This window comes from Homo sapiens, chromosome 11 (assembly GCF_000001405.40).
Source record: "Homo sapiens chromosome 11, GRCh38.p14 Primary Assembly".
NCBI lineage: Eukaryota > Metazoa > Chordata > Mammalia > Primates > Hominidae > Homo > Homo sapiens.
Genome location: NC_000011.10, coordinates 74864345 through 74887359, shown reverse-complemented (window position 1 = coordinate 74887359; position 23015 = coordinate 74864345). Strand labels below are relative to the sequence as shown.

At 43.1% G+C, this 23015-nt stretch overlaps 1 protein-coding gene across 69 annotated transcripts in view, besides 1 other annotated feature; it reads left to right on the top strand.

The window, feature by feature from the left end:
• The window catches only part of XRRA1 (X-ray radiation resistance associated 1), a 108182-nt gene that overhangs the window by 61732 nt on the left and 23435 nt on the right, over positions 1-23015 (top strand). The window lies entirely within an intron of this gene.
• Positions 4122-4706: an enhancer, noted in NCBI's record as "NANOG-H3K27ac-H3K4me1 hESC enhancer chr11:74593699-74594283 (GRCh37/hg19 assembly coordinates)". NCBI's record gives its function as "activates a minimal SCP1, AML or CMV promoter by ChIP-STARR-seq in primed H9 embryonic stem cells {active_cell/tissue: H9 hESC(primed)}" and the evidence as "EXISTENCE:reporter gene assay evidence [ECO:0000049][PMID:30033119]".

Below are 23015 nucleotides of genomic sequence, written 5' to 3'. Positions count from 1 at the left end.
AAGTACCTTATAGATTCTGGATAGTAGACCTTTGTTGGTTACATAGTTTGAAAATATTTTCTCTGATTCTATACTTTATCTGTTTACTCTGTTGATAGTTTCCTTTGCTAGGCAAAAGCCCTTTAGTTTAATTGGGTCTCATTTGTCAATTACTGTTTCTGTCACATTTGCTTTAGGCATCTTTGTCATGGACTCTTTGCCCAGTCCTATGTCCAGAAGTGTATTTCCTAGGCTATCTATCTTCCAGAATTTTTATAATTTTAGGTTTTACATTTAAGTCTTTAATGCATCCTGAGTTTGTTTTTGTAGATGGTGTAAGGAAGGGGTTCAGTTTCAATCTTCTGCATATGGCTGGCCAGTTATCTCAGCATCATTGATTGAATAGGGAATCTTTTCCTGTTGTTTATGTTCATCAACTTTGTCAAAGATCAGATGGTTGTAGGCGTGTGGCATTATTTCTGGCCTCTCTAACCTGTTCCATTGGCCTATGTATCTGTTCTTGTGCCAGTACCATGCTGTTTTGGTTACTGTAGCCTTGTAGTATAGTTTTAAGTTGGGTAACATAATGCCTCCAGCTCTGTTCTTTTTGCTTAGGACTTCCTTGGCTATTCAGGCTTTTTTTAAAGGTTATTTATAAATTTTTAAATACTTTTTTCTAATTTGGTGAAGAATGGCATTGGTAGTTTGATAGGAATAGCATTGAATCTATAAATTGCTTTGGGCAATATGGCCAGTTTAACAGTATTGATTCCTCCTATCACGGGCATGGAATGTTTTTCCATTTGTTTGTGTCATTTCTGATTTTTTTTTTTAAGCCGTGTTTTATAACTCTTGTTGTAGAGCTCTTTCACCTTCCTCGTAGCTGTATTCCTAGGTATGTTATTCTTTTTGTGGCTATTGTGGACAGGATTGTGTTCTTGATTTGGCTTTCAGTTTGGAGGTTGTTGGTGTATAAAAATGCTATTGAATTTTGTACATTGATTTTGTATCCTGAAACTTTGCTGAAGTTGTTTATCAGATCTAGGAGCTTTTGGGCAGAGACTATGGCGTTTCCTAGGTGTAGAATCACATTGTTTGCAAACAGAGATAGTCTGACTTCCTCTCTTCCTATGTGGAGGCCTCTCATTTCTTTCTCCTGCCTGATTGCTCTGGCTAGGACTTGCAGTGCTATATCAAATAGGAGTGGTGAGAGTGGGCATCCTGTCTTGTTCCAGTTCTCAAGGGGAATGCTTCCAGCTTTTGCCCATTCAGCATGATGTTGGCAATGGGTTTCTCATAGATGGCTCTTATTATTTTAAGGTTTATTCCTTAAATGCCTAGTTTATTGAGAGGTTTAAACATGAATGATGTTGAATTTTATCAAAAGCATTTTCTGCATTTATTAAGATGATCATGTGGTTTTTGTTTTTAGTTCTGTTTATGTGATAAATCACATTTATTGATTTGCATATGTTGAACCAACCTTGCATCCCAGGAATAAAGCCTACTTGATCATGGTGGATAAACTTTTTGATGTGCTGCTGGATTTGATTTGCCAGTATTTTTTTGAGGATTTTTGCATCTATGTTCATCAAGGATATTGGCCTGAAATTTTGTTGTTGTTGTTGTGTCTCTGGTGGGTTTTGGTATCAGGATGATGCTGGCCTCAAAGAATGAGTTAGGGAGGAGTCCTTCCTCAATTTTTGGAATAGTTTCAATAGGAATGGTACCAGTTCTTTATACACCTGATAGAATTTGGCTATGACTCTGTCTTGTCCTGGGCTTTTTTTGGTTGGCAGGCTTTTTATTACTGATTCAGTTTCAGAACTTGTTATTGGTCTATTCAGGGATTCAGTTTCTTCCTGGTTCAGTCTTGGGTGGTTGTATGTGTCCATGGATTTATCCATTTCTTCTAGGTTTTATACCTCGTATGTTCGTAGTAGTCTCTGATGTTTTTTGTAATTCTGTGGGGTCAGTGGTAACATCCCCTTTGTCATATCTAATTGTTTTTATTTGTATCTTCTGTCTTTCTTTTATTAATCTAGCTAGCAGTCTCTATCTCATTAACTTTTTCAAAAAAACAACTCCTGTATTTGTTGATCTTTTTTCTCTTCTTTGAGACAGGGTCTCACTCTGTCACCCAGGCTGGAGCGCAGTTGCGTGATCTCAGTTCACAGCAGCCTCAACCTCCCATACTCAAGCAATCCTCCCACCTCAGCCTCCCAAGTAGCTGGAACTATAGGTGCACTTCATCATACCCAGCTAATTTTTTGATATTTTGTAGAGACAAGGTCTCACTGTGTTGCCCAGGCTGGTCTCAAACTCCTGAGCTCAAGAAACCATCCCACCTCAGCCTCCCAAATTGCTGGGATTACAGGCATTAGCCACCATATCCAGGCTGTGGATCTTTTGAATAGTTTTTTGCATCTAAATTTTCTTCAGTTCAGCTGTGATTTTGGTTATTTCTTGTTTTTTGCTTGCTTTGGGGTTGGTTTCCTCTTGTTTCTTTAGTTTCTCTAGTTGTGATATTAGGTTGTTAATTTGAGATCTTTCTAACTTTTTGATGTGGGTATTTAATGCTATAAATTTCCCTCTTAACACTACCTTAGCTGTGTCCCAGAGATTCTGGTATTGAAGCAGCCCTGTTGTCTAGGGTGATACCTAAGGTTCATTGTCTCATGGCCAAGGAAATAAAGGATATGGACACACAAAGAGTGAGTTTAAGAGAGCGTAAGTTTAATAGGTGAAAGAAAGAATAGCTCCCTGCTAGAGAGAGGGGTCCTAGAGAAATAAGTTGCTGGATCTGCAGTGAAATGCAGGGGTTTTTATAGGTGCCTGGTGAGGAGGCAGTTTCTGATTTACATAGGGTGCAAAAGATTGATTAGACCAGGTGTGCATAGACACTAAAAACTGGTTAGGAATAGCTGTGCCATTTGCATAGGGTATGAAAAGCTGGTCACCCCTAACCAAATTTTATTATGCAGGTGGGTCCTCTGCCTGGCCTGTGCCACACTGCCCATTCCTTTACTGTACATGTGGTAACAAACAAAAAAAGGGAAGATGGAGCCTCTATGTTGGACATGCCTGGCCCACAGGTAGCCCTTTTCTATTGACACAGCTGCTGACATTCCCCTGTGCAAGATTCCAGCTCGCTTATCTATGTTTGCAGCTTGATTTTTCAGGCTTCTCTTTGTTGGAAAAAAATAATTTTTTTTTTGAGACAGAGTAATGCTTTGTCACCCAGGATGGAGTGCAGTGGGTTCAAGTGATTCTCCTGCCTCAGCCCCCTGAGTAGCTGGAATTACAGGTGTGCCCCAACACACCTAGCTAATTTTTGTATTTTTAGTAAAGATGGGGTTTCACCATGTTAGCCCAGGCTGGTCTCAAACTCCTGACCTCAAATGATCTGCCTGCCTCAGCCTCCCAAAGTGCTGCGATTACAGGCATAAGCTACCGTGCCTGGCTGGAAAAAAATAATTTCTTGTACTGCGTTTTGTTAAAAGGGAAGCTCTGCTGAGGACTCTTTTACCCTCACTATCTGCCTTAATAATTTCTTTCTACCCCCTGTATCATATTTCCCCCCTGAGGAGTGGAAACACTACAGCTGGTAGGGGTATTGGAGGACAACTCTTTCTGGCTACTTCCTGCTGAAGAGGGGCATCATGTGGGGAACAGCAGCTAAGGCTCCTTCTGGAGTTGATCTAAAGGTTCTTGGAAGAAAGGCATGTCCATGTGTGGTTCCATCTGCAGCACCATTTGGAGTTTAATAGCTTCTAGGCAAGAAGAGATAAATTTTACAAGAAGGTTTAGAATATAGGGTTTGAATATGAATATTAAGAATCCCGCTGGGAGCCAAGATGGCCGAATAGGAACAGCTCCGGTCTACAGCTCCCAGCGTGAGCGACACAGAAGACGGGTGATTTCTGCATTTCCATCTGAGGTACCGGGTTCATCTCACTAGGGAGTGCCAGACAGTGGGCGCAGGTCAGTGGGTGCGCACACCGTGTGCGAGCCAAGGCAGGGCGAGGCATTGCCTCACTTGGGAAGCGCAAGGGGTCAGGGAGTTCCCTTCCTGAGTCAAAGAAAGGGGTGACGGACGGCACCTGGAAAATCAGGTCACTCCCACCCAAATACTGCGCTTTTCCAACGGGCTTAAAAAACGGCACACCACGAGATTATATCCTGCACCTGGCTCGGAGGGTCCTACGCCCACGGAGTCTCACAGATTGCTAGCACAGCAGTCTGAGATCAAACTGCAAGGCGGCAGCGAGGCTGGGGGAGGGGCGCCCGCCATTGCCCAGGCTTGATTAGGTAAACAAAGCAGCCGGGAAGCTCGAACTGGGTGGAGCCCACCACAGCTCAAGGAGGCCTGCCTGTCTCTGTAGGCTCCACCTCTGGGGGCAGGGCACAGACAAACAAAAAGACAGCAGTAACCTCTGCAGACTTAAATGTCCCTGTCTGACAGCTTTGAAGAGAGCAGTGGTTATCCCAGCATGCAGCTGGAGATCTGAGAACAGGCAGACTGCCTCCTCAAGTGGGTCCCTGACCCCTGACCCCCAAGCAGCCTAACTGGGAGGCACCCCCCCAGCAGGGGCACACTGACACCTCACACGGCAGGGTACTCCAACAGACCTGCAGCTGAGGGTCCTCTCTGTTAGAAGGAAAACTAACAAACAGAAAGGACATCCACACCAAAAACCCATCTGTACATCACCATCATCAAAGACCAAAAGTAGATAAAACCACAAAGATGGGGAAAAAACACAACAGAAAAACTGGAAACTCTAAAAAGCAGAGCGCCTCTCCTCCTCCAAAGGAACGCAGTTCCTCACCAGCAACGGAACAAACCTGGATGGAGAATGACTTTGACGAGCTGAGAGAAGAAGGCTTCAGACGATCAAATTACTCTGAGCTACGGGAGGACATTCAAACCAAAGTCAAAGAAGTTGAAAACTTTGAAAAAAATTTAGAAGAATGTATAACTAGAATAACCAATACAGAGAAGTGCTTAAAGGAGCTGATGGAGCTGAAAACCAAGGCTCGAGAACTACGTGAAGAATGCAGAAGCCTCAGGAGCCGATGCAATCAACTGGAAGAAAGGGTATCAGCGATGGAAGATGAAATGAATGAAATGAAGCGAGAAGGGAAGTTTAGAGAAAAAAGAATAAAAAGAAATGAGCAAAGCCTCCAAGAAATATGGGACTATGTGAAAAGACCAAAATCTACGTCTGATTTGGTGTACCTGAAAGTGATGGGGAGAATGGAACCAAGTTGGAAAACACTCTGCAGGATATTATCCAGGAGAACTTCCCCAATCTAGCAAGGCAGGCCAACGTTCAGATTCAGGAAATACAGAGAACGCCACAAAGATACTCCTTGAGAAGAGCAACTCCAAGACACATAATTGTCAGATTCACCAAAGTTGAAATGAAGGAAAAAATGTTAAGGGCAGCCAGAGAGAAAGGTCAGGTTACCCTCAAAGGGAAGCCCATCAGACTAACAGCGGATCTCTCGGCAGAAACCCTACAAGCCAGAAGAGAGTGGGGGCCAATATTCAACATTCTTAAAGAAAAGAATTTTCAACCCAGAATTTCATATCCAGCCAAACTAAGCTTCATAAGTGAAGGAGAAATAAAATCCTTTACAGACAAGCAAATGCTGAGAGATTTTGTCACCACCAGGCCTGCCTTACAAGAGCTCCTGAAGGGATTTTTGTCACCACCAGGCCTGCCTTACAAGAGCTCCTGAAGGAAGCACTAAACATGGAAAGGAACAACCGGTACCAGCTGCTGCAAAATCATGCCAAAATGTAAAGACCATCGAGACTAGGAAGAAACTGCATCAACTAACGAGCAAAATAACCAGCTAACATCATAATGACAGGATCAAATTCACACATAACAATATTAACTTTAAATGTAAATGGACTAAATGCTCCAATTAAAAGACACAGACTGGCAAATTGGATAAAGAGTCAAGACCCATCAGTGTGCTGTATTCAGGAAACCCATCTCATGTGCAGAGACGCACATAGGCTCAAAATAAAAGGATGGAGGAAGATCTACCAAGCAAATGGAAAACAAAAAAAAGGCAGGGGTTGCAATCCTAGTCTCGGATAAAACAGACTTTAAACCAACAAAGATCAAAAGAGACAAAGAAGGCCATTAAATAATGGTAAAGGGATCAATTCAACAAGAAGAGCTAACTATCCTAAATATATATGCACCCAATACAGGAGCACCAAGATTCATAAAGCAAGTCCTGAGTGACCTACAAAGAGACTTAGACTCCCACACATTAATAATGGGAGACTTTAACACCCCACTGTCAACATTAGACAGATCAATGAGACAGAAAGTCAACAAGGATACCCAGGAATTGAACTCAGCTCTGCACCAAGCGGACCTAATAGACATCTACAGAACTCTCCACCCCAAATCAACAGAATATACATTTTTTTCAGCACCACACCACACCTATTCCAAAATTGACCACATAGTTGGAAGTAAAACTCTCCTCAGCAAATGTAAAAGAACAGAAATTATAACAAACTATCTCTCAGACCACAGTGCAATCAAACTGGAACTCAGGATTAAGAATCTCACTCAAAACCGCTCAACTACATGGAAACTGAACAACCTGCTCCTGAATGACTACTGGGTACACAACGAAATGAAGGCAGAAATAAAGATGTTCTTTGAAACCAACGAGAACAAAGACACAACATACCAGAATCTCTGGGACGCATTCAAAGCAGTTTGTAGAGGGAAATTTATAGCACTAAATGCCCACAAGAGAAAGCAGGAAAGATCCAAAATTGACACCCTAACATCACAATTAAAAGAACTAGAAAAGCAAGAGCAAACACATTCAAAAGCTAGCAGAAGGCAAGAAATAACTAAAATCAGAGCAGAACTGAAGGAAATAGAGACACAAAAAACCCTTCAAAAAATTAATGAATCCAGGAGCTGGTTTTTTGAAAGGATCAACAAAATTGATAGACCGCTAGCAAGACTAATAAAGAAAAAAAGAAGAATCGAATAGATGCAATAAAAAATGATAAAGGGGATATCACCACCGATCCCACAGAAATACAAACTACCATCAGAGAATACTACAAACATCTCTATGCAAATAAACTAGAAAATCTAGAAGAAATGGATAAATTCCTGGACACATACACTCTCTGAAGACTAAACCAGGAAGAAGTTGAATCTCTGAATAGACCAATAACAGGAGCTGAAATTGTGGCAATAATCAATAGCTTACCAACCAAAAAGAGTCCAGGACCAGATGGATTCACAGCCGAATTCTACCAGAGGTACAAGGAGGAACTAGTACCATTCCTTCTGAAACTATTCCAATCAATAGAAAAAGAGGGAATCCTCCCTAACTCATTTTATGAGGCCAGCATCATTCTGATACCAAAGCCAGGCAGAGACACAGCAAAAAAAGAGAATTTTAGACCCATATCTTTGATGAACATTGATGCAAAAATCCTCAATAAAATACTGACAAAACGAATCCAGCAGCACATCAAAAAGCTTATCCACCATGATCAAGTGGGCTTCATCCCTGGGATGCAAGGCTGGTTCAATATACGCAAATCAATAAATGTAATCCAGCATATAAACAGAGCCAAAGACAAAAACCACATGATTATCTCAACAGATGCAGAAAAAGCCTTTGACAAAATTCAACAACCCTCCATGCTAAAAACTCTCAGTAAATTAGGTATTGATGGGACGTATTTCAAAATAATAAGAGCTATCTATGACAAACCCACAGCCAATATCATACTGAATGGGCAGAAACTGGAAGCATTCCCTTTGAAAACTGGCACAAGACAGGGATGCCCTCTCTCACCACTCCTATTCAACACAGTGTTGGAAGTTCTGGCCAGGGCAATTAGGCAGGAGAAGGAAATAAAGGGTATTCAATTAGGAAAAGAGGAAGTCAAATTGTCCCTCTTTGCAGACAACATAATTGTATATCTAGAAAACCCCATTGTCTCAGCCCAAAATCTCCTTAAGCTGATAAGCAACTTCAGCAAAGTCTCAGGATACAAAGTCAATGTACAAAAATCACAAGCATTCTTATACACCAACAACAGACAAACAGAGAGCCAAATCATGAGTGAACTCCCATTCACAATTGCTTCAAAGAGAATAAAATACCTAGGAATCCAACTTACAAGGGATGTGAAGGACCTCTCCAAGGAGAACTACAAACCACTGCTCAAGGAAATAAAAGAGGATACAAACAAATGGAAGAACATTCCATGCTCATGGGTAGGAAGAATCAATATCGTGAAAATGGCCATACTGCCCAAGGTAATTTACAGATTCAATGCCATCCCCATCAAGCTACCAATGACTTTCTTCACAGAATTGGAAAAAACTACTTTAAAGTTCATATGGAACCAAAAAAGAACCCACATCGCCAAGTCAATCCTAAGCCAAAAGAACAAAGCTGGAGGCATCACACTACCTGACTTCAAACTATACTATAAGGCTACAGTAACCAAAACAGCATGGTACTGGTACCAAAACAGAGATATAGACCAATGGAACAGAACAGAGCCCTCAGAAATAATGCCGCATATCTACAACTATCTGATCTTTGACAAACCTGAGAAAAACAAGCAATGGGGAAAGGATTCCCTATTTAATAAATGGTGCTGGGAAAACTGGCTAGCCATATGTAGAAAGCTGAAACTGGATCCCTTCCTTACACCTTATACAAAAATCAATTCAAGATGGATTAAAGACTTAAACGTTAGACCTAAAACCATAAAAACCCTAGAAGAAAACCTAGGCATTACCATTCAGGACACAGGCAGGGGCAAGGACTTCATGTCTAAAACACCAAAAGCAATGGCAACAAAAGCCAAAACTGACAAATGGGATCTGATTAAACTAAAGAGCTTCTGCACAGCAAAAGAAACTACCATCAGAGTGAACAGGCAACCTACAAAATGGGAGAAAATTTTCACAACCTACTCCTCTGACAAAGGGCTAATATCCAGAATCTACAATGAACTCAAACAAATTTACAAGAAAAAAACAAACAACCCCATCAAAAAGTGGGCAAAGGATATGAACAGACACTTCTCAAAAGAAGACATTTATGCAGCCAAAAAACACATGAAAAAATGCTCATCATCACTGGCCATCAGAGAAATGCAAATCAAAACCACAATGAGATACCATCTCATACCAGTTAGAATGGCAATCATTAAAAAGTCAGGAAACAACAGGTGCTGGAGAGGATGTGGAGAAATAGGAACACTTTTACACTGTTGGTGGGACTGTAAACTAGTTCAACCATTGTGGAAGTCAGTGTGGTGATTCCTCAGGGATCTAGAACTGGAAATACCATTTGACCCAGCCATCCCATTACTGGGTATATACCCAAAGGATTATAAATCATGCTGCTATAAAGACACATGCACACGTATGTTTATTGCAGCATTATTCACAATAGCAAAGACTTGGAACCAACCCAAATGTCCAACAATGATAGACTGGATTAAGAAAATGTGGCACATAAACACCATAGAATACTATGCAGCCATAAAAAATGATGAGTTCATGTCCTTTGTAGGGACATGGATGAAATTGGAAATCATCATTCTCAGTAAACTATCGCAAGAACAGAAAACCAAACACCGCATATTCTCACTCATAGGTGGGAATTGAACAATGAGATCACATGGACACAGGAAGGGGAATATCACACTCTGGGGACTGTTGTGGGGTGGGGGGAGGGGGGAGGGATAGCATCGGGAGATATACCTAATGCTAGATGACAAGTTAGTGGGTGCAGCGCACCAGCATGGCACATGTATACATATGTAACTAACCTGCACAATGTGCACATGTACCCTAAAACTTAAAGTATAATAAAATAAAAAATAAAAAAAAAGAATCCCATTATTAGTGGGAGTACTATAGGCTATAACCATGACAGTAGAGTTTGATACCTGATAGCCATTTGATGGGTTGTAATACTAGTTGCCTCCACCAGATGTCGCTGTACTTTACCAGAAGTGTAATATAAAAGCAACATTTTTCTTTGAAAAAAAACATATATTCCCCCTTGACTTGCCATTAGAAGATAATTGTAGGCCTGGGCTATCTTTTATGACTTGTGATGTGATTGGGAGGAACACATTATTGGGTGGCTAGAGTAACTTTAGTGTTAACCTTGGCTAAATCTTTCCTGTAATTATTAATCCTGTTGTAAAAATTAGGCAGAATATTACAGCAATTAGAATATTCCATCCAGAATTCTACATTGCAGGTACCACAGTATATAGTCCTACTGCAAATAGCAGAGTAAGTATAACAATTTACACAAGGGTGGTGTAGTAGATAATTTCCATCTTAAATTTTACTCACCAAGAATTTCCCTTTGGGAGTCTATGAAGTTACAACTGTAATCTCATGGATAATCAAAATCTTCCCACAAGTATGCATCAAAAAGAAGTTCTAGTATCTCACAGCGAATCTCGAGAGGAAAAGTAGAAATAACTGAAAGTATCTGATAAGGTAGGAGTGGGACTGAGTAGGATGAATAGCCCTTACTCATTTACTTATCTTTTATGATTTTCAGCTTAAGATCTCCTATTTCTTCACATGGATATCCAGGACATTCCTCTGGGCTGTCTGGGGTTGCTCTCTCTCTCAGGTTTCCAGGCTTTGACTTGAGTGATGCATCCAGGAGTCCATTCCTGTGACTTTTATCGCTGAGGGGTTGAAAGAACAGTGTAGGGCCCTTCCTAACTTGGGCTTAGGTAGGGAGACAGAGGGCAGAGTCTTTATTAATACCACATATCCTGGGTTAAATAATGATGGTCCTATTTTGGGGGGTTGGGCTTCTGCTAGTTGTGTTAATTCCTGTTGGAAGTGAGCTAGGGAGGTTACATGCTTAACCAATTTAGAGGTGTCTTGGTCTAATAGAAAGTCACTTGTAAGGAAAGGCTGTTAATACAGCATTTAAAACGGGGTCAGACCTAACTTTGAAGGGGTATTTCTTACCCACAGTAAAGCCATGGGAAGAAGAGTGACCCAAGGAAGGTTAGTTTCTTGGAACAGTTTTCTGAGATGTCTTTTGATAATATCGTTTGTCTTCTCTACCTTTCCTGAGGACTGGGGTCTCCAAGCACAATGGAGATGATACTGTATGCCTAGTGCCTTTGTGACCCCTTATGTGACAGCTGTCTTAAGCAAGGGGCCATTGTGACCTTGAAGGCACTTAGGTAGACTAAAGTGGGGAGTTATTTCATTAAGTAACAAACACTTTTATTACCTTGGAGGCCTTTTCTGTACAGCATGGAAATGCTTCTATCCAGTTAGTGAAAGTATCTACCCATACCAGGATGTATTGGATGTCCTTCTTCTTTGGCACGTGGGTGAAGTCTATCTGCCAGTCCTTCCCTGGATGGCTTCCCATCCTTTAGGTTTGAGGAGGAAGGAGATGCCTGTTAAGGGGATTATTATTATTTTGAGACACAGTTTCACTCTGTTGCTCAGGCTTCAGTGTAGTGGTGTGATCTCAGCTCACTGCAACCTCCACCTCCTGTGTTAAAGCAATTATCGTGCCTCAGCCTCCCAAGTAACCGGGATTACAGGCGTGCACCACCACATCTGGTTAATTTCTTTGTATTATTAGTAGAGATGGGGTTTTGCAATGTTGGCCAGGCTGGTCTCGAACTCCTGATGTCAAGTGATCCACCCGCCAAAGTGCTGGGATTACAGGTGTGAGCCACCGTGCCCAGCCAAAGGGATTATTTTTAAGACAGACTTCACAAGCACTAACAAGCTGCTTGACTGTTATTAAGTTCTCTCCTGAAAAATCTCTGGGCACACTGATAAGTTTTATCCTTTCCCAAGTGAAAAGCTTGATGAAGGATCTTAAGGACTTTCCACTGGCGGGAGGCTGGCAAGTGGAGTTTGCCGTCCTCTTACTGTAGCCATCCTGAGAGCTGAAAAGTATACCCTTGAGAAGTGGCCCACTCTGCCTCTGCAGGGGAGTACTGAGACTTAATTTCTCTTATGGAGCCTTCCCAGATTAGAGGGGGCTTCAGGTGCATTGAGGCCCTGAGGCTGACTTGCTGCTGACTTGGCTGCCTCATCAGCTAACTTGTTTCCTTAGGCTACTTCATCTGCTCCCTTCTGATGTCCTACAATGCATCACTGCTACCTCTCGTGGAAGGAAAACTGAGGATAATAACTTGTTAATTTCCTGATGGTATTTTATAGGTTATCTTTAGTAGTAGGAAAGTGTCTTTCCTCCCAAATGGCAGCATGAGCATAAAGAACTAAGAAAGCATACTTGGATTCTGTGTAAATGTTAGCTACCTTTCCCTTGCTTAATTCAAGTGTTCTTGTAAGAGCTATCAGTTCAGCTAGTTGAATGCTTGTGCCTGGGGAGAGGGGTGCACTTTCAATGTCATTCAGAGTGTACATTGCATATCCCACCTTACAGACTCCTTGTTCCACAAAGGAACTTCCATTTGTGAAGAGCGTCCCATCTGGATTTTCTAGGGAAGTTTCCCTGAGAGCTTCCCTGGCTGCATAGGTCTGTACCACAACTTGTTCACAGTCATGTTCAGGTTCCTCAGTTTCCTTGGGGAGGAAAGTGGCTGAGTTTAGGCAAGAGCAAGTTTTTAACTGGATTGTAGACCCTTCTAATATCAGAGCCTGATATTTAGGGAGTCAGCTTTCTGTTAGCCAAGGGCATCCCTTAGAGGACAGCAATCGTGCTACATTATGTGGGGTATAAACAGTTAAGCTATTTCCCAGGGTTAATTTGGTGGCCTCTGGTATCAGTAGGGCCACTTTGGCAATGGCTCAGAGGCATGATAGCCATTCTTTAGCCACCAAATCAAGTTCCTTACTTAGGGAGCCCACTGGCTGTTGAGCTGGTCCTCGGGCTTGAGTTAAAACTCCCAGGGCCATTCCCTTCCTTTCTGATACAAAAGATTGAAGACCCTCCCTATGGGAAGGCTGAGGACTGGTACCTTAAGTAAGGCTTGTTTTAACTAATTAAAGGCCTTTTGAGCTTCAGGTTCTCAGGTTAGGAAATGAGTTTTAGCCACTTGAGTTTCTTTCTTTTTTTTTTTTTTTTTTTTTTTTTTTTTGAGACGGAGTCTTGCTGTCACCCAGGCTGGAGCGCAGTGGCGTGATCTCAGCTCACTGCAACCTCCACCTCCCGGGTTCATGCGATTCTCCTGTCTCAGCCTCCTGGGTAGCTGGGAATACAGGCGTGTGCCACCATGCCCAGCTAATTTTTGTATTTTTAGTAGAGACGGGGTTTCACCATGTTGGCCAGGATGGTCTTGATCTCTTGACTTCATGATCCGCCCACCTCGGCCTCCCAAAGTGCTGGGATTACAGGTGTGAGCCACCGTGCCTGGCCTTGAGTTTTTTTTATGAGGTGATATAGGGGGTAAACTATCTCACCATACCAAGATGAGTTTGCAGAATCCTGTAATGCCCCCAAATCCTCTTAGTTGCTTGAAGGTTTTAGGGAGGGGGAAGGAGGAAATTGGCTTACTCCTTTCTTCCCCTAATGCTCTGGTCCCTTCAGACAACACTACACCCAGGTACTTCACTGAGGTTTGGCAAAGCTTGATGTTAGATTTTGAAACCTTATATCTTCTGTTGGCTAAGAAATTAAGAAGAGCTTCACTGCCTTCCTGAGATGCTTCCTCAGTTGGGGCACAAAACAGTATGTCATCTACATATGGCAAGACCCTGACCTGAGGATGGGAAAACTCAGAGAGGTCCTTTGACAGTACCTGTCCAAACAAGTGGGGACTGTCTCAAAATCCCTGAGGCAGCACTGTCCATGTTAACTGGGCATCTGGCCAGAGGGATCTTCGAAGGCAAACAGGTATTGAGAGTCAGGATGTAACGCTATATAGAAAAAGGCATCCTTTAGATCTAGGACTGAACCATTTAGTTCCCTCAGGTATTTGGGTTAGCAAAGTATAGGGATTAGGGACCACTGGATGAGTTGGAACTATGGCCTTATTAATGATGTGGAGGATCTGATCTAGTCTCCATTCTCCATTGGGTTTTTGCACTCCTAATATTGGGGTGTTGCAGGGGCTGCTACAAGGTTCGAGGAGGCCCTGCATTTTCAGGTTATTAATAATGGCTTCTAGCCCCTTCCTAGCCTTGGCTTTAGGGGATATTGTCTCTGGTTAAGAAAAGCAGTGGGATCCTTAAGATGGATCTGAACTGGCCTATTTTTCCTTGAGTTGCTCACCCTTCTGGATTAATAATAGCTTCCACCTGGGGGAAACAAAGAGTTTGTCTTGGGGCTATAAGGATGCTGGCCCCCATGCAAGCTAAAATGTCTCTGCCTAATGAAGGAGTGGTACTTTCAGGCATGAGTAAGAAGGCATGAGTAAATAATAGGTCCTCCCAACTACAACTAAGGGGTTGAGAAAAATATCAGGTTAGAACTTTACCTGAGATGCCCATCATGGTCATGCTATGGGAAAAGGGGATTAGGGAGAAGAGGGATGCTGGTTCCAATGTCTAGAAGAAGGTCCACCTTCCTTCCTTCCTTCAATTTTCAGAATCACCTGGGGCTCCTGTGCAGTAATGACAGTTTCAGCTGCTGGAGCCAGGGGTCTGAACCCCAGGACCCAACAGTCCTGTTGGACCATCTGTGAGACTGGTTCTGAACCCAGTGACCTCCATCTCCAGGGGCAGTCTGATCTCCAGTGGTCCCAACCACTGGCTGGACATGGTTGGGGTGGCTTCTACTTGCTGCCTGGGCACTCCTTCTTAAAGTGCCCTGACTTGCCACACTGGTAGCAACTAATGGATACACCTTGGGGATCCTGGACTTTGCAAGTTTGCAAAGCAGCTACTAGAGCCTCTGCCTTCTCTCGCGTTTCCTCTCTTTCTCCAGGGCCGCCTTCTGGTCCCTATTATGAAAGACCAAGGTAACCACCCTCAAGTGGTTTTTCAAGGTGCTATCTGGTCCTATAGCCTGCTTCTACAGTTTCCTTCTAATATTGGGAGCTGCCAGTATAATAAACTTGTCCTTGAGGGTTAGCTGTCCCTTGACTGAGTAGGGGATAAGGAGGTGTGTTTTATTAGTGCTTCTCTCAGCCTTTCCATAAAGGCTGCAGGATTCTCATCTGGCTTTTGGTTTATCTTGGACAGTTTAGAGTAATGAAGAGGTTTGGCTCTCCTAGTTCTTTATAGGCCCTCCAATATGCACATTAATAAGTGTTTCCTTTTCCATTCATTTGTGGAGTCATCAGGGTTCCAAATCAGGGTTGTCAAGAGGTACTGCCTCTCTTCTCTACTGGGAATGATGGTTCCCCTATCTCTTCACCTTCCCTATTTTCTCTTTTCCTTTTTGGCCTACTGTAAGAAACATACTGCTTGTCTCCAAATTTCTCTGATGCATGCAGAGCTGCCTGCTTTTCAGCTGCGGTTAGGGTTTGGCTTAGGAGCAGCATAACATCTCTCCATGAGAGGTCAAACACCTGAGTTAAATTTTGGAAAGCTTCTTTATACCTATCGGAGTCATCAGAAAATCAGCCTAAGTATCCCTTTATTTGCCTAAGGTCATGCAATGAGACAGGAACTTGAACCCTAGTGGCATCACCTCCATTGGTCATTTCCTGCAGGGGTAAGAGTGAAGCTGGGGGAGTGGGGAATTTTGGAGATAGTGGAACTAGAGGAGCTGATGGCACAGTTGGAGGGGGCCCTAAATAAGGGGGACAGGAAGAGCCGGGACACTCAATAGCTGCCTGAAGTTGCTTTTTTAGTTTTGGGGAATCATTACCTTTTGGATTGCCTGATATGACTGCTAAAAGAGCTTGGTTGATTGTCCAGTGCATGCAAAGGTCTAGTAAGAAGGCCATGCCCTTGTGCAAAAGCAGTTTCAGGATTAAAGGAGTCTCAGTGCTTCAGAATGCACTTGAGCGGGGTGCAGGCTAAAGATGGCTAGAAAGCTAGGGGAGACAAGGAGTCCCTTATTCCCCTCCTTCCTTTAGAATGGCCCAAGGTAGACAGGAAGACAATGGGAGCATCCCCCAACTGTTTTCCCTTCTTGGTTCCCTGAGCCTCGGCATCTGTTAAAAGGTGCTACTCTTGGATGCAGGCATGTCCCTCAGGCATGGATCTAGAGAAGCTAAGTGATGGATTTAGTCACACTCACCCATGCAACTCTAATCCTCCACTGGTGATTTCCCTTTGACTTCCTAACTTCTGTGATCTATGTGGCTACCTGATAGATGGCTCTTGGGAAAGACTATATAACAGTTGTATTTGCAAGGCCCTTTAATGGAGAGAGTGTACTGGGTTGAGCTCTATACTGCTATTATGGCCTGGACTAAAATATTTATTGTTAGGCAGTGGTTCTGGTTAACTTTAAGACATTACATCCCCTTACTATTTAAGTACCATTTTAATGAGAGGCAGAATAAGTGCCTTAAAAGAATGTAGGAACTGAATGGTGGTTTTCCTGCTGATGGGACAATATCAAAACTAAAATTTGGTTTTGGAGGGCATTTTCCTCCTCATTGTTGAGTTTTCCCATTCACAGAAGGAGCATAAAGCCTGGCCTCTAGTAGAGGAGTACAAAAGGGGAGGAGAATTGGAAAACTAGAGTGTTTAGGCAAAGGGCTGACAAGGTACCTCATGGAGAGGATTTCTATTCCACTAGGTGGTGCTGTAGACCTTGAAATACCATGTGATCTCCAGAGCAAGCGGGGAGAGAGATGCTCACTGCCAGGGAAAGGGAGATCCTTTCTATTCCTAGAAAATCACAAAAATGGCAATCCTTTGCATTATATTCCTGGTTACTATGGCATTTGCTGATGCTATCTAACAGGATTATTTCCCTGAAGTGTAAAAATTCCCACAGCATTTCATACAGAGAGGGGATAGGAGACATGGCAGTCGACAGGAAAGAAGGAAAAATGCAATAGGAAAAGCTTGGAGATCCTGTTACTGATGCTCAGTGGGCAGTCAGAGTCTGAGGTTAATCCAGAAGCCTTCGGGTAACACCTGGGTGTAGCCCTGGCCAGGAACTATCAGTTGCCTCTGGACCTCTTCCAGCCCCATGCAATAGCTAGGCTCTCCATGAAAGGAAACTGGTTTGAAACACAGTCAACATTCCCAGCACCCTGAGGGTACCGAGGGATTCACTAAGTTCTCCCGAGCAAGCCTGTTGTCTAAGTCTTGAGATGGGTGGCATTCCCTAAGGGCATCTAGGTGGCCATCAGACACCGAATGTTTTTGGTTTTATTTTAAAATGGAGGGCAGAAGGCCCCAAAATGAAAGTAAAGATTTGGGGTCTGCTCCTATACTCACCCTTCTGATGAATCTACCTTGGATCCCAGATGGGCCCCACAATGAAGTGGCCTCATTGTTGGGGGTGATACCCGAGGTTTGTTGTCTCATGGCTGAGGAAATCAAGGACCTGGGCACACAAAGAGTGAGGTTAAGAGTGGAAGTTTAATAGGTGAAAGAGAATAGCTTTCTGCTGGAGAGGGGGATCCCAGAGAAATGGCTTGTCAGATCTGTGGTTAAATGCAGGGGCTCTTATAGGTGCCTGATGAGGAGGCAGTATCTGATTTACATAGGGTGTGAAAGATTGGTTGGACCAGGTGTGCCATCTGCATAGGGTATGAAAAACTCATTAGAACTAGGTTTGTCATTTGCATAGGGCACAAAAAAATGGTCGCCCCCATACTAATCTTCTAATATGCAGGCAGGTCCTCTGCCTGGCCTGCACCATGTTGCCCATCCCTTTACTGTACACATATTAACAAAAAAAGAAAAGATGGAGCCTCCATGTTGGACATGCCTGGCTCCCAGGTAGCCCTTTTCTATTGGCACAACTGCTGGCATTCCCCCATGCAAACTTCCAGCTTGCTTATCTATGTTTTCAGCTCAGTTTTTCAGGCTGCTCTTTGTTAGAAAAAAATAATTTCTTGGGCTGCTTCTTGCTAAAAGGGAAGCTTTGCTGAGGACTCTTTTACCCTATCTGCCTAAATAATTTCTTTCTACCTCCTGTATCAGTATGTTGCCTCTTTGTTCTCCTTTAGTTTCAAAGAATATCTTGATTTCTCCCTTAATTTCATTATTTACCCAAAAGTCATTCAGGAGCAGGTTTATTTCAATGTAATTATATGGTTTTGAGCAATTTTCTTAGTATTTCTATTTTATGGTGCTGTGCTCCAAGAGTGTGGTTAGTATGATTTCATTTTTTTTTAAAATTGTACTGAGGATTGTTCTATATCTGATTGTGTGGTTGACTTTAGAATATGTGCCATGTGCAGCTGAGAAGAATGTATATTCTGTTGTTTTGGGGTGGAGTGTTCTGTAGATGTCAATTGGGTCCATATGGTCAAGTATTGAGTTCAGGTCATTAATATCTTTGTCAGTTTTCTGCCTCAATGATCTAATATTATTATTGGGGTATTCATGTCCTGCACAATTATCGTATGTTTATCCAAGTCTCTTTATATGTCTCTAAAAGCAACTTGCTTTTTGAATCTGGGTCTCCTCTGTTGGATGCATATATATTTAGGATAGTTCTTGTTGAATTGAGCTCTTTACCATTATATAATATCCTTCTTTGTCTTTTTTTTTTTAATCTTTGTTGGTTTAATGTCTGTTTTGTCTGAGTTTAGAATAATTTCAACAACCCCTGCTTTTTTTCTCTTTTCCATTTGCTTGGTAGATTTTTCTCCATCCGTTTGCTTTCAGCCTATGGGTGTCATCACATGTGAGATGGGTCTCTTGAAGACAGCATACCATCAGGTCTTGCTTCTTTATTCAACTGATCACTCTGTGCCATTTAGCTCATTTATATTCAAAGTTAATATTGATATGTGAGGATTTGTTCATTATTATGCAGACTTGTTCATGTGGTTGCTTTATAGTGTTAATGGTCTATTTACTTAAGTGTGTTTTTGTAGTGGCCGGTAACAGTCTTTTCTTTCCAAGTTTAGCACTCCCTTCAAGACCTCTTGTAAGGCATATCTGGTCGGATAGTAATGAAATCCCTTAGCATTTGCATGTCTGAAAAGGATCTTATTTCTCCTTCACTTACAAAGCTTAGCTTGGCTGGATATGAAATTCTTGGTTGGAAATTCTTTTCTTTAAGAATGTTGAGCCCAGCGCAGTGGCTCATACCTGTAATCCTAGCACTTTGGGAAGCTGAGGCAGGTGGATCACTTGAGGCCAGAAGTTCAAGAGCAGACTGGCCAATATGGTGAAACCCTGTCTCTACTAAAAATACAAAAAATTAGGTGCGGTGACGCATGCTTGTAATCCCAGTTACTTGGGAGACTGAGGTATGAGAATCACTTGAACCTGGGAGGCGGAGGTTGCAGTGAACCAAGATCGCACCATTGTACTCCAGCCTGGATGACGGGAGCAAGACTCTGTCTCAGAAAAAAAAAAAAAAAAAAAGATTGACTATAGGCCCCCATTCTCCTCTGGTTTGTGCTGAAAGGTCTGCTGTTTGTTAGTTGATGGGTTTTTTTTTGTAGGTGACCTGTCCTTTCTCTCTAGCTGCCTTTAACATTTCTATCATTTTGACCTTGGAGAATCCAATTACTATGTTTCTTGGGGATGGTCTTCTTGTGTAGTATTTCACAGGGGTTCTCTGCATTTCCTGAATTTGAATGTTGGCCTCTATAGCAAAGTTGGGGAAATTGTCATGCATGATAACCTGAAATGTGTTTTCCAAATTGCTTGCTTTCTCTCCTTGCATTTCAGGGATACCAATGAGTCATATTTTTGGTCTCTTTACATAATCCCATATTTCTCAGAGGTTTTGCTCATTCTTCCTTACTATTTTTTTATTTTGGTCTGACTGAGTTATTTTGAAGAGCCAGTCTTTCAGCTCTGAGTCTTTCCTCAGCTTGGTTGATTCTGCTGTTAACATTGCAGTTGTATTCTGAAATTCTTAAAGTGAGCTTTTCAGCTGTATCAGCTCACTTTGCTTCTTTCTTAACATGGCCATTTCATCTTTCATCTCCCATATTATTTTATTTATTCCTTAGATTCCTTGTATTGGGTTTCAACTTTCTCCTGAATGTCAGTGATCTCCATTCCCATCCATATTCTGAATTCCATTTCTGTCATTTCAACCTGTTTAAGAACCATTGCTGGAGAACTAGTGTGGTCATTTGGAGGTAAAAAGACACTCTGGCTTTTTGATTTGCCAGAGTTCTTGTCTGGTTCTTTCTCATCTGTGTGGGCTGGTATTCCTTCAATCTTTGAAGGTGCCATCCTTTGGATGGGCCAGGGTGCAGGGCCACTGGTGTCCATGCTTAATGTTCATGCTGGCAGTGGCAGTGGAAGTGGGTGTGCTTATGCTGGCAGTAATGGCATGGTGGGGTACGTGCACACCCACCCAGTCTCCAGATTTGGAAAGTTTTCTGTTATTCTTTGAATAAGCTTTCTACCCCTTTTGTCTTTCTCATATCCCTCTTTAACTTTAGCAACCCTAATATTTTCTTTTTTGATGTTGTCCCATAGATCCTGCAAGCTTTTATTCCTTTTCATTCTTCTTCCTTTTTTCTCCTCTGACTGTATATTTTCATATAATCTTTGAGCTCACTGATTCCTCTGTTTGATTAATTCTGCTGTTGATACTCTCTGTTGACTTTTTCATTTCATTCATTATATTTTTCAATTCCAGGATTTCTTTGATTTTTTTTTTTTTTTAATTATTTCAATCTCCTTGTTAAATTTTTCTGGTAAATTTCTGAACTGATTCTCTGTGTTTTCTTGAAGTTCACTGTGCTTCCTTAAAACATCTGTTTTGGCTGGGCATAGTGACTCATGCCTATAATCCCAGCACTTTGGGAGGCTGAAGTAGGAAGATTGCTTGAGCCCAGGAGTTCAAGACCAGCCTGGGCAACAAAGTGAGTCTCCCATGTCTACAAAAAAATAAAAACATTAACCAGGCATGGTGGTGCATGCCTGTGGTCCCAGCTACATGGGAGGCTGAGGTGGGAGGATTGCTTGAGCCCAGGAGGTTGAGGCTGCAGTAAGCAATGTTCATGTCACTGTACTCCAACCTGGGTGACAGAATGAGAGCCTGTCTCCAAAAAAAGCACAAAACAAAACAAAAAAAATAAAAAAACCCAAAAAAATGTTCTTTTGAATTCTTTGTCTGAGAGATCACACATCTCTATTACTTTATGTTTGATCTCTGGCATCTTATTTTGTCTGTTTGGTGACGTCATATTTCCCTGAATATTCCTGATGTTTGTAGAAGTGTGATGATATCCGTGCCTTGAAATATTAGGTATTTATTTTTGCCTTTGTAGTCTGGCTTTGTGTGTGCCTGTCCTTCTTCAGAGGGACTTCCAGGGATTCTAGGCAGACTGACTGTTACATTTCCTGAGCTTGGGACCACTACTGGCATCTCAGCACTGAGCGATGGTCTAAACCCAGGCTTGCTGCAAGTCTTGCAAAGACTGAGATTGGTGTGGCTTTCTGGCCCAAATGGCTCTGGGAAGACCCAAACACAGGACTGGGGCTATGTGGGAATGTTGGCCAAGGGGACCTGAGTCCAGAACACTGTCCCAGTGGCCCAGATATGTGTTCCTCCCAGCAGGTCTCTGCATGGGCAGGATGGGTCCCAGCTGTAGCCAGAGGGACTGAATTTAAGACTGGGGCATGTTGGGATCTGTTGTAGGAATGAAGCTGGTGGTCCATCTCATTGGCTTAGACAGGTGTATGTCACCTAGCAGGTCCCTGCACAAGTAGTTCCTTGACTGCAACAAGAGGGACCAGAACTGAGACTGGGTCCCCTTGGGATCTGCCGTGGGATGGAGGCTGGTGTGCCTGTCATGGTGGTTCAGACAGGCACACATCTGCCTGCATGTCTCCGCACAGATGGAATAATTCCCTGATTGTAGAGGGAGGGGCTGGAACTGACCATAGGCCCCCTTGGGATCTGCTGTGGAACAGAGGCTAGAGAGCCCTGTCTTGGTTCAGGGAGGTGCACATTGCCTAGCAAGTTCCTGCACAGATAGGATAGTTCCCTGACTATAGCAGGCGGGGCCAAATCGCAGACTGGGCCCACACAGGATCTGCTGTGAGGTAGAGGCTGGAGAGCCCAGTCTCATTGGCTCAGAGGGGCATGTGTCTCCTAGCAAGTCCCTATGCAGATGAGATAGTAACCTGATTGCAGCAGGAGGGGCCAGGGCTGACACTGGGCCCCGCTGGGATTTGATATGGGAAGAAGCCCATCTTGTTGGCCCAGACAGGCATGTGTCTCCCAGCAGGTCTCAGCACAGATAGGATAATTCTCCACTGTAGTGACAGGGGTCAGAGCTGAGACTGGGTCCTCTCAGGATTTGCTGTAGGGTAAAGGCTAGAAAGCCCAGCCTCATTGGCTCAGAGGGGCATGTGTCTTCCAGCAAGTCCCTGCACAGTCTGGTTAGTTCTCTGATTGCAGCTGGAGGGACCAGGTCTCAAACTGGGTCCCCTCAGAATTTGCTGTGGGACAGAAGTTGGTGAACTCATCTGGGAGCCTCAGGCTGCAAGATATAGGTGAGTCTCCCTCTGGGTCCTTGTGCAAGAGGCTGTGAGCAGGGACCTCAGCTGAGAGGGGGTGGATCAGAAAAACGGCAACTTTCAGGCTTACTGCTAAGATCAATGTCAGCAGGCAGACAAGCCTTTCCACCAAGGCACTAGTGTGCACTACTCCTTCTGGACCTCTCTGCAGATGGTTTTGGTTGCAGGCTCAAGGCCAAATATGGCTGTAGCCCAGGACCTTGGAAGCCTGGGGTGTTTCTAGGCTTGAACTGGGGAGCAAGCTTGGTGGATCAGCCACTTGGGTGTTGGTCTGTACCCTCAAAACAATCCTTCAATGTCTTGGGATCCACCAGGGTTTCAAAAACTCCTACCTGAATCTTGATGCTCCTGCAGAGAGACTTTTGACTGTGGGCGGGTGTGGAATTTTTGTGGTTGTGAGGGGACATGAGTGGGTTACTTTCTATTCCACCATCTTCTCTCTGCCTT